This window comes from Homo sapiens, chromosome 17 (assembly GCF_000001405.40).
Source record: "Homo sapiens chromosome 17, GRCh38.p14 Primary Assembly".
NCBI classification, from domain to species: Eukaryota; Metazoa; Chordata; class Mammalia; order Primates; family Hominidae; genus Homo; species Homo sapiens.
Genome location: NC_000017.11, coordinates 6423171 through 6436975, shown reverse-complemented (window position 1 = coordinate 6436975; position 13805 = coordinate 6423171). Strand labels below are relative to the sequence as shown.

The 13805-nt window shown below is 51.5% G+C and overlaps 1 protein-coding gene across 8 annotated transcripts; it reads left to right on the top strand.

Moving 5' to 3' along the window:
- AIPL1 (AIP like 1 HSP90 co-chaperone) lies at positions 1855 to 13238 on the top strand. 8 transcript variants are annotated; one of them, NM_001285400.3, is made up of 6 exons: positions 1855 to 1967; positions 2944 to 3057; positions 8470 to 8658; positions 9919 to 10095; positions 10220 to 10361; positions 11146 to 13238. In NM_001285400.3, exons 1-6 carry the CDS (start codon positions 1872 to 1874, stop codon positions 11514 to 11516), a joined length of 1089 nt encoding a protein of 362 aa, NP_001272329.1. In that variant the 5' UTR covers positions 1855 to 1871; the 3' UTR covers positions 11517 to 13238. The 8 variants fall into 8 exon arrangements, with proteins under 8 accessions (NP_001272329.1, NP_001272328.1, NP_001272330.1 ...); NM_001285399.3 differs by having other exon boundaries at positions 2914 to 3057; NM_001285401.3 differs by having other exon boundaries at positions 2878 to 3057; positions 10292 to 10361.

Here is a 13805-nt window from a genome sequence, read left to right as displayed (position 1 = left end):
AGCTGTATCTGGCTCAGTCCAGTCTTCTTCTTCTTCTTCCTTCTTCTTCCCTCTTCCCTCTTCCCTCTTCCCTCCTCCTCCTCCTCCTCCTCTTCCTTCTCCTTCTTCTTCTTCTTCTGACACAGTCTCACTCTGTGCCCCAGGCTGGAGTGCAGCAGCATGATCTTGGTGCACAGCAACCTTCATCTCCTGGATTCAAGCGATTCTCCTGCCTCAACCTCCTGAGTAGCTGGGATTACAGGTGCCCACCACCACATCCGACTAAGTTTTGTAATTTTAGTAGAGATGGGGATTCATCATGTTGGCCAGGCTGGTCTCTAACTCCTGATCTGAGGTGATCCACCTGCCTTGGCTCCCAAAGTCCTAGGATTACAGCCATGAGCCACTGCACCCAGCCTAGTCTAGCATTTTTTGTTTTGTTTTGTTTTTTTGAGACAGAGTCTCGCTGTGTTGCTCAGGCTGGAGTGCAGTGGCACGATCTCAGCTCACTGCAACCTCCGCCTCCCGGGTTCAAGCGAGGCTCCTGCCTCAGCCTCCTGAGTAGCTGGGATTACAGGTGCGCACCACCATGCCTGGGTAATTTTTGTATTTTTAGTACAGACTACTAAAAATACAAAACTCCTGACCTCAGGTGATCCACCTACTTCAGCCTCCTTAGTCCCGTGTTTTTATCTCTCCCTGTAGCAGAGTCCTGCACCCCTTCCCTCTGCAACCGGTGAGCCTGGTGTCAGGAAGAGAATGGTTTCGTGGAGCTGAGTCCAGTGCCCTCAGGGTGCGGAGGTGTAGGAGCTTGAACTGGCCACACGGTGGTGCCAAACACCAGGTCTTCGCATTTATGTTTCCCAGCCCTTCTGGGCGTCCCTGATGCCCTCAATAAACTCTGCCTGGTTCCCAGGGCACAGGGCTAAGGGCCTCCAAAGGGGAGGGGAGGGGAGGGGAGGGGAGGGGATACCCACCCTTCCCCCAGCCAGACCTTGCAGGGGAGGCAGGAGCGGGGCTGCGGAGGGCGCCTCAACTTTACCCAAACCCACCCCGCCTTTCGTTCTCCGTCTTCCTTCTCTCCCAAGCCAGAAACCTGTCCCCTCTTGCCTTGGGCCACCATCGCAGGGCCTCCTGAAGGCAGATTCTGGGGAGGGGAGGGGGAACAGGGAAAGCAGAAAGGTGGCTGGATGGCAAAGGGCAGCTGTCACCCCGGCTGGCCTGGGGTCCTCGGGGACTTAGAGTCTGGGCCCAGCCCATGCCTCCCCTCCTTTTCCCCTTCAGTGGCCTCCAGGCCTCTCTCCACATCGCCAGGCTGGAGTGCAGTGGCGCTATCTTGGCTCACTGCAACCTCCGCCTCCCGGGTTCAAGCGATTCTCCTGCTTCAGCCTCCCGAGTAGCTGGAACTACAGGCGCCCGCCACCACCCCCGGCTAATTTTTGTATTTTTAGTAGAGATGGGGTTTCACCATATTAGCCAGGATGGTCTCGATCTCTTGACCTTGTGATCTGCCCGCCTCGGCCTCCCAAAGTGCTGGGATTACAGGCGTGAGTCACCGCGCCTGGTCCCCTGTCTTCTTTAAGAAAGCTCAGCGGACCTTTTTCCTTCTTGGGGTGGAACAAAAAGCCAAATCTAGCACAACCCTGGGCAGGGGCCCAGAATCACTGGAAGCAAAGGTGGATGGGATAGGAGGCGAGGCTGCCTGTGGACCACAGGCCCGGCCCGAGTGGCTCTGATGAGAAGCCGGGGCGCCTAGGTCACCGCCCCCACCGTCTGCCCTTCCCCCCACTCCTCCTGGCTGGGTAAATCCCAGAGTCTCAGCCGCCTAAGTGTCTTCCCCGGAGGTGAGATTATCTCCGCCTGTGCTGGACACCTCCCTTTCTCCTGCAGCCATGGATGCCGCTCTGCTCCTGAACGTGGAAGGGGTCAAGAAAACCATTCTGCACGGGGGCACGGGCGAGCTCCCAAACTTCATCACCGGATCCCGAGTGAGTGGGGCCCCTCCGGAGCAGACAGGGTCCCCCACAGCAGCTTTCAACATTCCAGGTGTGCCCCAAGGCACTGTAAACAGCTTTCAGCTGTGCCAAAAAAACAGCCAGGCAGCCCCAGCGCTGGGCCTCCGGGGAGCTCCCAGCGTTTACCCATTCAGGGGGCATTTTTGGTACTTTGCAGATTCAACTTTAGCATGGGCTGAGGGGAAGGGCTTTTGGGAATTTTCTGGGGCCCTAAATGTTGAGTGAGAAGAAAGGGAGTCCGAGGAGTCTTGGTATTTGTCCCCAAATGTCTGTTAGGCTTCCCTGGACTGAAGGGTGCGTCTGTGGCTACAGAATTCGGGCTTTGGCCAGGCGAGGCGGCTCCCGCCTGTAATCCCAGCACTTTGGGAGGCCAAGATGGGCAGATCATGAGGTCAAGAGTTCGAGACCAGCCTGACCAACATGTGAAACCCCATCTCTACTGAAAATACAAAAATTAGCCAGATGTGCTGGGCGCCTGTAATCCCAGTTCAGATACTCAGGAGACTGAGGCAGGAGAATCACTTGAGCCCAGGAGGTGGAGGTTGCAGTGAGCCGAGATCATACCACTGCACTCCAACCTGGGCAACAGAGTGAGACTCTGTCTCAGAAAAAAAAAAAAAAAAAAGAACTCGGGCTTACTTGAGGAAGGATTTCTGGACGCACAGGGCTGTGGGGAGTGGAATGGGGTCTGTAGGGAGGGGTGGGTCCCTCCTCCCTGGGGGGTGCAGGCAGGGTGGAGGTGCTCCAGGGGTCTGAGGCATCTGATGGGGTGAACTGAGTGAGCTGACCCTGGGGACAGCCCTGGGTGTCGGTGGCAAGGGGGTGGCTTCTGCCGGGCCTTGAACAGTGTGTCTAGAGCAGAGTGCACCGTCTCGGTGACTAGGTGATCTTTCATTTCCGCACCATGAAATGTGATGAGGAGCGGACAGTCATTGACGACAGTCGGCAGGTGGGCCAGCCCATGCACATCATCATCGGAAACATGTTCAAGCTCGAGGTCTGGGAGATCCTGCTTACCTCCATGCGGGTGCACGAGGTGGCCGAGTTCTGGTGCGACACCATCGTAAGTAGGCCCTGCGCGCCTGTCTCCTGGGACTAGTCTTTTCTGGGCTCACCCACCCGCTTTGCGGGGCTGCTGTGTTTCGGGAAAGCTGGGACTCAAGCGAAGCTTTGCAAAGCCAGTCCTGCAAACTTATTCCCCACCGCTGTGCATGTGAAGATGGAGGGAACAAGGGCTGGAAGGGGTGACCCATGCTGTGGCTGGCTGGTGGGGAGCAGGGCTATGACCAGCAGGAGTGAGCTGGCCCACTTCACAGTCCTCACATCTGTGTGTGTGTGTGTGTGTGTGTGTGTGTGTGTGTGTGTGTGTGAGAGAGAGAGAGAGAGAGAGAGAGATAGGGTCTCGCTCTGTCACCCAGGCTGGAGTGCAGTAGCGTAATTATGGCTCACTGCAGCCTCAACTTCCCGGGCTCAGGTGATCCTCCCACTTCAGCCTTCCAAGTAGTTGGGACTACAGGTGCACCACCACACCTCATTTTTGTATTTTTTGTAGAGACAGAGTTTTGCCACGTTGGCCAGGCTAGTCCTAAACTCTTGGGCTTAAGCAATCCTCCTGTCTCGGCCTCCCAGAGTGCTGGAATTATAGGCATGAGCCATCTTGCCCGGCTAAGTCCTTGCTTTTTATACAGCATGATTAGATCTGGAGATTTTATACAGCATGATTAGAGCAGCACTGGTCACTTTTTTGCCCTCCTCCTCACATTGCAAGTTTGCCCTCCTATTTATGGCACTCCGTAAATTACTCCTATAAGTTAGCTTCCTTGCCTTATGGCAAAACTCACTGACCTTTAGGCAACGTTTCTTATGGGAACTTTCAAACATATACAAAAGTCAGCAGAAAGAATAATGAACTTACGAGTACCTGTCACCCAGTGCCGGCCACCATCAACCCGCGGCTGGTCTTGCTTCATCTCCCAACCCACCCACTTCCCTTCCTTGTCCTGCGTGGTTAAACCAAATGCCAGACACCATATCATTTCATCTGTAAATACTAAAATTTGTATCTCTAAAATATGAGGATATCCCAGCACTTTGGGAGACTGAGGCGGGCAGATCACGAGGTCAGGAGTTGGAGACCAGCCTGACCAACATGGTGAAACCCCGTCTCTACCAAAAATACAAAAATTAGCTGGGCGTGGTGGCACATGCCTGTAATCCCAGCTACTCAGGAGGCTGAGGCAGGAGAATCACTTGAACCCGGGAGGCAGAGGTTGCAGTGAGCTAAGATCATGCCACTGAACTCCAGTCTGGCGACAGAGTGAGACTCCATCTTAAAAAAAAAAAAAGAGGATATTAAAGAAACTTTACCATTGTACCATTATGAAATCTTTTAAAAACTCCAGTAATTCCTTAAAGCCGTCTAATATCCAGTCACTGTTGAATTTTCTTTGGTTGACTCCTTTTATTCTTTATAAATGAATGAGTTTGGTTTGTTTAAATCAACAACCGAACAAACAAAGTCTCTGCATAGCGCTTTGTTGATGCGTCTCTCAAGTGCCTTTTTATCTATAGGTCTACTTCCTTCTTTTCTTTCTTTCTTTTTTTTTTTGAGACGGAGTCTTGCTCTGTAGCCAGGCTGGAGTGCAGTAGCGTGATCTTGGCTCACTGCAACCTTGGCCTCCCGGGTTCAAGTGATTCTCCTGCCTCAGCCTCCCACGACTACAGGTGCCCGCCACCACGCCTGGGTAATTTTTTGTATTTTAGTACAGACAGGGTTTCACCATGTTGATCAGAATGGTCTTGATCTCTTGACCTTGTGATCCGCCCGCCTCTGCCTCCTAAAGTGCTGGGATTACAGGCCTGAGCCACCACGCTCGGCCTCCTTCTTTTCTTCTTTTCTTCCTTGACATGGAAGTGTTGAAGGAACTGGGTCATTTATCCTGTAGAAGTCCCACATTCTGATTTTCCTGGTTCCTTCGCCATGGAATTGTCTAACATGCTCCTCTATTCCCCACATTTTTGATAAATTGAAAGTGGGGTCTAGAGGGCCTGATAAGATTCAGATTCTTCTCTCTCTCTTTCTCTCTTTTTCAAAAGTCTGCCATGGATGTACCATATACTTCCCTTTGGGAGACGTACATCACACTTGGTTGTCTCTTTTACAGTGATGTTAAGAGTGATTGGTGGGTTTAGGTGTTGACAGCCTGATCCATCCATTCCAAAGCTCCCCCTAGACTTTCACCATTGGTGGCAGATACCCAGACTCATTATTTCATCAGAGGCCACTGACCTTTTAAATGAGCATTTTGGGGACAATTTGAACTCTGTTCTGTCTTTCATTAGTTGTGTGACCTGGGGTAGTCCCGTCTTCTGTCTGCTACTCTATTCCTTCATTTATAAATAAACAAAACTCTAAGTTAAGGGGTTGTTTTGGAGATTACATGATATAACATATGAGGGTGGATCATAATACAGGGCAATTAAAAATGAGAGCTATTATTTTGAGCTAGAATTTTTTTTTTTTTCTGAGATGGAGTTTCACTCTGTCATCCAGGCTGGAGTGTACTGGCACGATCTTGGCTCACCGGAACCTCTGCCTCCCAGGTTCAAATGATTCTCCTGCTTCAGCCTCCTGAGTAGCTGGGGATTACAGGTGCCTGCCACCACACCTGGCTTTTTTTTTTTTTTCAGTATTTTTAGTAGAGACAGGTTTTCATCATGTTGGACCAAGCTGGTCTCGAACTCTTGACCTCAAGTGATCTGCCTGCCTCGGCCTCCCAAAGTGTTGGGATTACAGGCGTGAGCCACCATGTCCAGCCTAGAAAAAATTTGAGATTAACTTCTTCACTTTACTGATGGGAAACTTAAGACTCCAAAAGGGAAAATAACTTGCAATGGCTCAGACAAGTTAAGGGAAAAGATCTGGGTGAGATGCCTGGTTCCCTCTTCATCCTACACACATTTCTTGCAGTGTCTAATAGAGCTGGGCTGCAGTGCCATCCTCTGCCAGTAGGTGATCCCACTCAACATGTTATCCATTTATTCATTCATGTAGCAAATATATGTTGAACATCTTTCCTTTGTAGCAGTCCCTGTGTTTTTCTTCATTCTGATGTTTTTATCTTAAAATCTGTTTTATTTTTTATCAAGTCAAGCCTTCAAAAATTGGCTTCTTTGTGATTTCAGTTAGTTTAAAAATATATCTATTGACTTTGCTTAGAGTGAGGGGCTCCTGTACTTTAATTCATGCCATTTGTGAGGCAAGGCTGCCACTAAGAGCCCCCTCTCCATAAGATACACGTTTGCTAACACATGACAGCTGAGTGCATAGAAGGCTGTCAATAAATTCTTGATTAGTTGATTGATTTGTTGTTTGCAAAACCACAAGCTGTTGTCATTCCCATAATGTGGGCATGGCTCTTTGTTTCCTGTGGAGTCTGTGTTCCTTTTTCCATGTTGATAGTCACATGAGTGCATTGCCCATATCACAGGCTGGTAACTGTTTTTTTTTTTTTTTTTTTTTTTTGAGACGGACTTTCGCTCTTGTTGCCCAGGCTGGAGTGCAATGGTGTGGGATTGGCTCACTGCAACCTCTGCCTCCCGGGTTCAAGCGATTCTCCTGCCTCAGCCTCCTGAGTAGCTGGAATTATAGGTGCTCACCACCACACCGGGCCAATTTTTGTATTTTTAGTAGAGATGGGATTTCAACATGTTGGCCAGGCTGGTCTGGAACTCCTGACCTCAGGTGAGCCACTGGCCTTGACCTCCCAAAGTGCCGGGATTACAGGCATGAGCCACTGCTCCCCATGGTAACTATGGGTTTTCCTAATCTCCATGCCCCGCACATCTCCTCACCCCAGCCCATGGCTGCCGTGATTGTGTGCATGTACGCATGCACACACACACACACACACACACACACACACACACACACACACCCCTTCTAGAGTTAGTTCTTCACCTGCACATCCACCTCTTATCCATCTACCCACCTGCCCGGGCATCATTTCATCCATTCTTCCCTTCAACCAATCTTCATTCATAATCCAGTCTTCCGTCACTATGCATGCATCCATCATCTTCTATCTATCTCCTATCATTCGTGTATCTATTATCTATCTATCTATCTATCTATCTATCTATCTATCTATCTATCTACCTACCTACCTACCTACCTACCTATCTAGTTAGAAAACATTCACTGGGCACCTGATTTGGCCTGTGCTGTATGTTAGGAGTGAAACAGGCAAAGCCCCTAGCCCTTAGGGAACTTGAATTCTGCAGGAGGAGCAGACACCTAAACAATTGTAATGCAGGGCAGCCAGTGCCAGGACATAAATAAGTGAGGGCAGTGTGCTTTGGGGCCACAAAAGCACGCTCAGCTTGCTGGGAGCCATGGGGTGCCGAGCTGGGGGCTGCTGAGTCAGGGCCAAAGGTGGCCCCTCCCTGCAGTAAGCTGGTTCTGGGGCCTCTCCCTCCCTTGGTCCAGCTCTAATCCCAACAGGCTCAACAGCCATCTGCTTGTCTCTTCCATAAAGAGGCAGAAGGCATTTCGGGCTAATCCCGGCCGGTGGGGCGGGCAGGGTGACCTCTGTCTCTGTGCTGGTGACCTGGAGGCAGAGCTGAACTGCTGCATAGAGTTTCAGCCCCTTCACTTCACATGTTGCATGTGGGGCCAGTGCTGGGTCATCTCAGAAGCCGGTCCAAGGAGATGGGTTCTCAGGGAGCCTAGTTGGGGAAACTGAGGCCCAGCATACATACAGCAGGCCTCGCTGAGGCCGCACGGCGGATCTTCCCAGCCCTCCTTCATCCCAAGGGTGGCAAACTCAGCTCCCATGCTGGCTGAAGCTGTGATGAGCCAGATCTATATCTGCACCATCTCATTTAATCCCTACAGCAGCCCTAATATCGAACAGGAGCAACCCAGGGAACTGAGTTTCAGAGAAGTGCAGAGACCTGGGCTCACCGCTAACCTGCAGCACTGCCAGGACACCAAAGCGACTCTCTTGGACCCTGGAGTCCTGCTCCTTCTACTGCCCCACACTGCCCTTCCTGCGAGTCATAGGCTTTGCAGAGGTCAGGGTTTCCCTGGGGCAGAGATGTGTTACAGTGGACCACAAGGGCCAGAAGAGGCAGCCGGAGGCTAACAGCATATGGCCTCTGGAGCCAGGTTTGAATCCTGGCTGCGTCATTTCCTAGCTGTGTGACCTTAAGCAAGTTGCTTTGCGTCTCTGGGCTGTAGTTTCCCCATCCGTAAAATGGGGATAATAGTGCCTGCCTTGAATTGTCATAAGGATTGAAGGGGCTCATAACAGTGTGAAGTGCTTTGCCTGGCACACAGTTAACCACAGTTAGTATGAGTGGCATAGTGAGGGAGCAGGATTCCTCCCAGGAGGGGCTCTGAGTGGAGGCCTTTTATGGCCCACCTAGCTCTGGGCAGGTAGCCTGGATGCCATCCATCCGTTTATCCCCACAGCACACGGGGGTCTACCCCATCCTATCCCGGAGCCTGAGGCAGATGGCCCAGGGCAAGGACCCCACAGAGTGGCACGTGCACACGTGCGGGCTGGCCAACATGTTCGCCTACCACACGCTGGGCTACGAGGACCTGGACGAGCTGCAGAAGGAGCCTCAGCCTCTGGTCTTTGTGATCGAGCTGCTGCAGGTGGGGCTGGGGTTGGCAGGGCTGGAGGGCTGTGCCAGCACTGGAGAGGGACAGCGGGCATCATGGGCACCCCCACCCCACTGGCCACTGGACAGTGCCCTGTTTCTGTTTAGATAATACGAGAGGGTTCATAAGCCATGGGAGAATACGAATTTGAAAAAAAAGTCCTCTGATTTTTCCACAAGAAAAGTCCTTTGGTGCTGGGCATGGTGGCCCACGCCTGTAATCCTAGCACTTTGGGAGGCCGAGGGGGTTGGATCACCTGAGGTCAGGAGTTCGAGACCAGCCTGGCCAACATGGTAAAACCCCGTCTCTATTAAAAACACAAAAATTAACCGGGTGTGGTGGTGCATGCCTGTAATCAATCCCAGCTACTTGGGAATTTGAGGCATGAGAATTGCTTGAACCTGGGAAGTGGAGGTTGCAGTGAGCAGAGATCATGTCAGTGCATTTTAACCTGGGTGACAGAGTGAGACTCCATGTCCAAAAAAAAGAAAAAAAAAAAAAGTCCACTTGGAACCAGTTTTTAAAAATGTGATTCATTTTCATTGTGGAGGCATTTTATCCACTTCCACTTTCATTTTCAGGAGTTGGAGATTATAACCGCCTCCTTGGTTCCTGTGGTTTGTGGGTTCAGACTTGGTTCTCTAGTGGCGGGAGAGGCTGCATGGAACTCCCCACATCCTCCCAACCAGAGCCCCAGAGTGATTGGCAGCGCGTGTTTGTGGATTGGTGAGAGAGGGTTAGGGCCAGGGTCAAGGTCAGGTCAGGACTCAGCTTATGGCCAAGACTGAGGCTCAGCCTGAGAGCTATGTGGGTGAATAAAAATAAAATAAGAACTGTGTCAACCAAGGGCCCTTACAGGCTTGCTGTCACAGTTGTGTGGTCTGTGCACTGCACAAGGTGCACCGGCATCTCCTCCAAGGTGCTCATTATAGACATTGTATATTGGTATTTCCATAATGAGAAGTTTCCAGCAGATGGCAATAGTGTATTGTTCTAACAAAACGAGTATTCGTGACAATTTTCTGAATATTAGAAGTGAAGTGTCTTGATGAACGGGCACCTTTTCCTAGTTTGCACAAAGACATTGATTTAGGGCAGGGTTTTCGGCGTTGTTGCTTCTTTCCCTTGTCTGTATGCACTTGACCAGCAAGCATGACTTCAGGGAGATGTGCCACAGGGTCCTGTTTTTCGGGTCTCTGATGGGGTGCAGGCCCCTGGGGTCCCTGCCTCACTGACCTGCAGCTCTGGGGCCAGGTTGATGCCCCGAGTGATTACCAGAGGGAGACCTGGAACCTGAGCAATCATGAGAAGATGAAGGCGGTGCCCGTCCTCCACGGAGAGGGAAATCGGCTCTTCAAGCTGGGCCGCTACGAGGAGGCCTCTTCCAAGTACCAGGAGGCCATCATCTGCCTAAGGAACCTGCAGACCAAGGTCAGAGGCCGCTGGCCAGGGGTGGGAAGTGGCGCTGACTCTGGGGGGCCTGCCCAGTGCCGGCCAGGGTGGGGCGGGGGTTGGGCAGCTGCCTGAGGTCATGGCTGACCTTCTCCCTGGGCAGGAGAAGCCATGGGAGGTGCAGTGGCTGAAGCTGGAGAAGATGATCAATACTCTGATCCTCAACTACTGCCAGTGCCTGCTGAAGAAGGAGGAGTACTATGAGGTGCTGGAGCACACCAGTGATATTCTCCGGCACCACCCAGGTGCGCGGGGCTGCAGGGGCGGACAGTGAGGGGGCGCCCAGCCCAGGGCCACGGAGACACCTGCCATAGCCTTCCTGGACTTTTCTTTCCACCCCACCAGGGCACCAAACCTTGTCTCCACCCAGCCGGGTTTCCCCGAGTGTGTAACTGAATTGTGGGTGATGGATGGGCAGTGCTTGGCGCGGGGCGGCCCTTTATTTTAATGTGTGTTTGAACACTTACCCAGGAAGCTCGCCAAGCTTGTGATTTCAGCGGAACGGTAAACAGGCGTTTAAAAAAGAGGGGCAATCAATATAGGGAAAAATATTATGATGTCGGTACTAGTACTGGTGTTGCGAGGATATGGCACCGTCAGTACTAGTATTGACTTAATGCTCGAATCGTGCTCACAGTAAAAACATCCAGCCCCTGGCTCATGCATCAGGCACACGTCGTCTGCGTTTATTATCTCATTTAATCCTCATAATCCTCATAATCACCATATGAGGGAGGTGCAGGGAAAGGGCCTGAAGGTTATCTAATTTAGGTAGCGTCTATAAGAAAAATAAAACAAAGTTATGAATATAAAATTACTCACAGGGCCTTAAAAAGGAGAGGAGGAGGTACTGCTATTATGATCATCATCTCCATCTTACAGTTGAGGAAACCGAGGGATGGGGGATACAGAGAGGTTAAGGATCATGGCGGGGCTGAGGGTCTTGGAGGCTGGTGAGTCCCAGCTGGGCTGGGGCTGCCTCTGAGGCTGGGAAGGGAGCTGTAGCTGGATGCTCCCTGCTCCCCACAGGCATCGTGAAGGCCTACTACGTGCGTGCCCGGGCTCACGCAGAGGTGTGGAATGAGGCCGAGGCCAAGGCGGACCTCCAGAAAGTGCTGGAGCTGGAGCCGTCCATGCAGAAGGCGGTGCGCAGGGAGCTGAGGCTGCTGGAGAACCGCATGGCGGAGAAGCAGGAGGAGGAGCGGCTGCGCTGCCGGAACATGCTGAGCCAGGGTGCCACGCAGCCTCCCGCAGAGCCACCCACAGAGCCACCCGCACAGTCATCCACAGAGCCACCTGCAGAGCCACCCACAGCACCATCTGCAGAGCTGTCCGCAGGGCCCCCTGCAGAGCCAGCCACAGAGCCACCCCCGTCCCCAGGGCACTCGCTGCAGCACTGAGCCCCCTGAGGCCCACAGCCACCCAGGCAGGGAGCAAGTGGCCTGGTCACTTCTGGTTCGATTGACCAGGATCGTGGTGTCACTTTTTAAAATTTAAAATTAATTTTTGAAATCAAAGTCAGACACACCCATGGTAAAAAAAAAAAAAAAAACAATCCCAAGGGTACAGAAGAGCTTATGAATAAAAGTAGTTTTCTCCTCTACCCCTCTCATTCCTTCCGTGCCATGGTTTTAATTGACCCTGTTTTTAATTCTTCTGGTAGTTTTCTCTATTTCCAAGTAATCTGTTTAAATCAGTTTCTAGATTTTACCCCATGTCAATGACAAATGAGGATTTGATGCTCTGATCCTTTCTCATGCCTGATACCCCTCCCTGTCTCCCCATTTTGGATAGTTACATTTGGGGGTCATCTCGGTGATTTTTGTAACTTTACGCAGGACACTTAGAGCTCTCTAGAATCCCACTGACTTTAGTGGGTCTTGATGTAGGGTGGGCAAGCCCCGACACTGGAGCTTAGCCTGAGAGGGTTCTTGGCCTCCCCCAGGAAAGATTTCAAAGGCAAGCGCCAGTGGTAGGGTAGAAGAAAACAGCTGTGGTCGGGCACGGTGGCTCACGCCTATAATCCCAGCACTTTGGGAGGCCGAGGCGGGTGGATCACCTGAGGTCAGGAGTTCCAGACCAGCCTGGCCAACATGGTGAAACCTCATCTCTACTAAAAATACAAAAAAACTAGCTGGGCGTGGTGGCGGGCGCCTATAATCCCAGCTACTTGGGAGGCTGAGGCAGGAGAATTGATTGAACCTGGGAGGCGGAGGTTGCAGTGAGCCAAGATCACGTCATTGCACTCCAGCCTGGTCAACAAGAGTAAAACTTCATCTCAAAAAACAAAACAAAACAAAAACAACAACAAAAAACAAAAGAAAAACAAACAAAACCAAAACCAAAACAGCTGTATTGAAGCTGCAGTGTTGCAGCTCTGTGACTGCCCTGCAGAGCAGGGCTACCCCATAGGCAGCGAGCAGCAGCTCAGGGCAGTTCTGCAGTCAGATTTATACCCACTTTTAATTACATGTAGATTAAGGAGCTGCATATACAAAGATTTCTAGGGAAGGAGTAGTAACTTCTGGGTCCTGGGGTCTTTGCCACGGAACAGGGCAGTATGCCAGGGTGTTGCCACGGCAATGGTAAACTGACATGGCACCCTGGGGGTCATGCCTTAGGGAAAGCCGCTTCCACTCGCCCCTGTTTTAGCTCATCTTCAAGTTAGTCTGGTGTCCAAGCTCCACCGCCTGCCTCAGTCTGGTGACCTCCTTCTGTGTCTGATGAGCATGGCAGCGTTGGGACCTTCCCCTTCCAACTCTCTCCCTCCTCTTCGTCCTCCCTAAAGGACGGGTACGAGGAGGGGCTATCACGCCAGCGACATCCTCTAGCACCACCCAGGTGTGTGGGGTGGGGCAGGGGGGCGACGAAGTATCCAGCCCAGGGCCACGTAGTCAACTGCCAAGGGCTTCCTGGGCTTCTCTTCTGCCCCAGAGCTTGTCTCCACCCAGCAGGGGTTCCCCCAGCGCTAACTGTATCCCTAAAGTTCTGATGTACTTTACTTTTCCATCTTCCTTGTTGTTAACATCTACCTTCTGCTCTGTAAGCAAAACTAAATCTTCTGTGCTTTGTCCATAGGTTGATTCTACAATCTGAAAATCAATAAACAGCATTTGCATGATTGTGGCTGTGTAGGTGTGTTTCCCCACAGGGCCCAGCGCAATGCTTCCACTGCATTGCTTTCTCTGTGGTTCCAATTTCGTGACCCCTGGGACACCAGAATGAGGATATTTCTGGCATCTGGAGTGATAATGTACATTTTAACATGGCAGTGTTTTATGTTTTTCTTCTCTTCTCCTCTTCCTTTTTTCTTTTTCATTTTTTTTTTGAGATGGAGTCTCACTCTGTTGCCCAGGCTGGAATGCACTGGCTTGATCTCGGCTCACTGCAACCTCCAACCTCCACCTCCCAGGTTCAAGCAATTCTCGTGCCTCAGCCTCCTGAGTAGCTGGGATTACAGGTGTGTGCCACTGTGCCTGGCTAATTTTTTGTATTTTTAGTAGAGACGGGGTTTCACCATGTTGGCCAGCTGCTCTCGAACTCCTGACCTCTGGTGATCTGCCCACCTCGGCCTCCCAAAGTGTTGGGATTACAGGCGTGAGCCACCGCGCCCGGCCTCTTCTTCCTTTTTTCTTGCAGTACTAGAAGGTTTGATGTGTAAGCCTTCCCACCCTTGAAGAAAAGGGGTT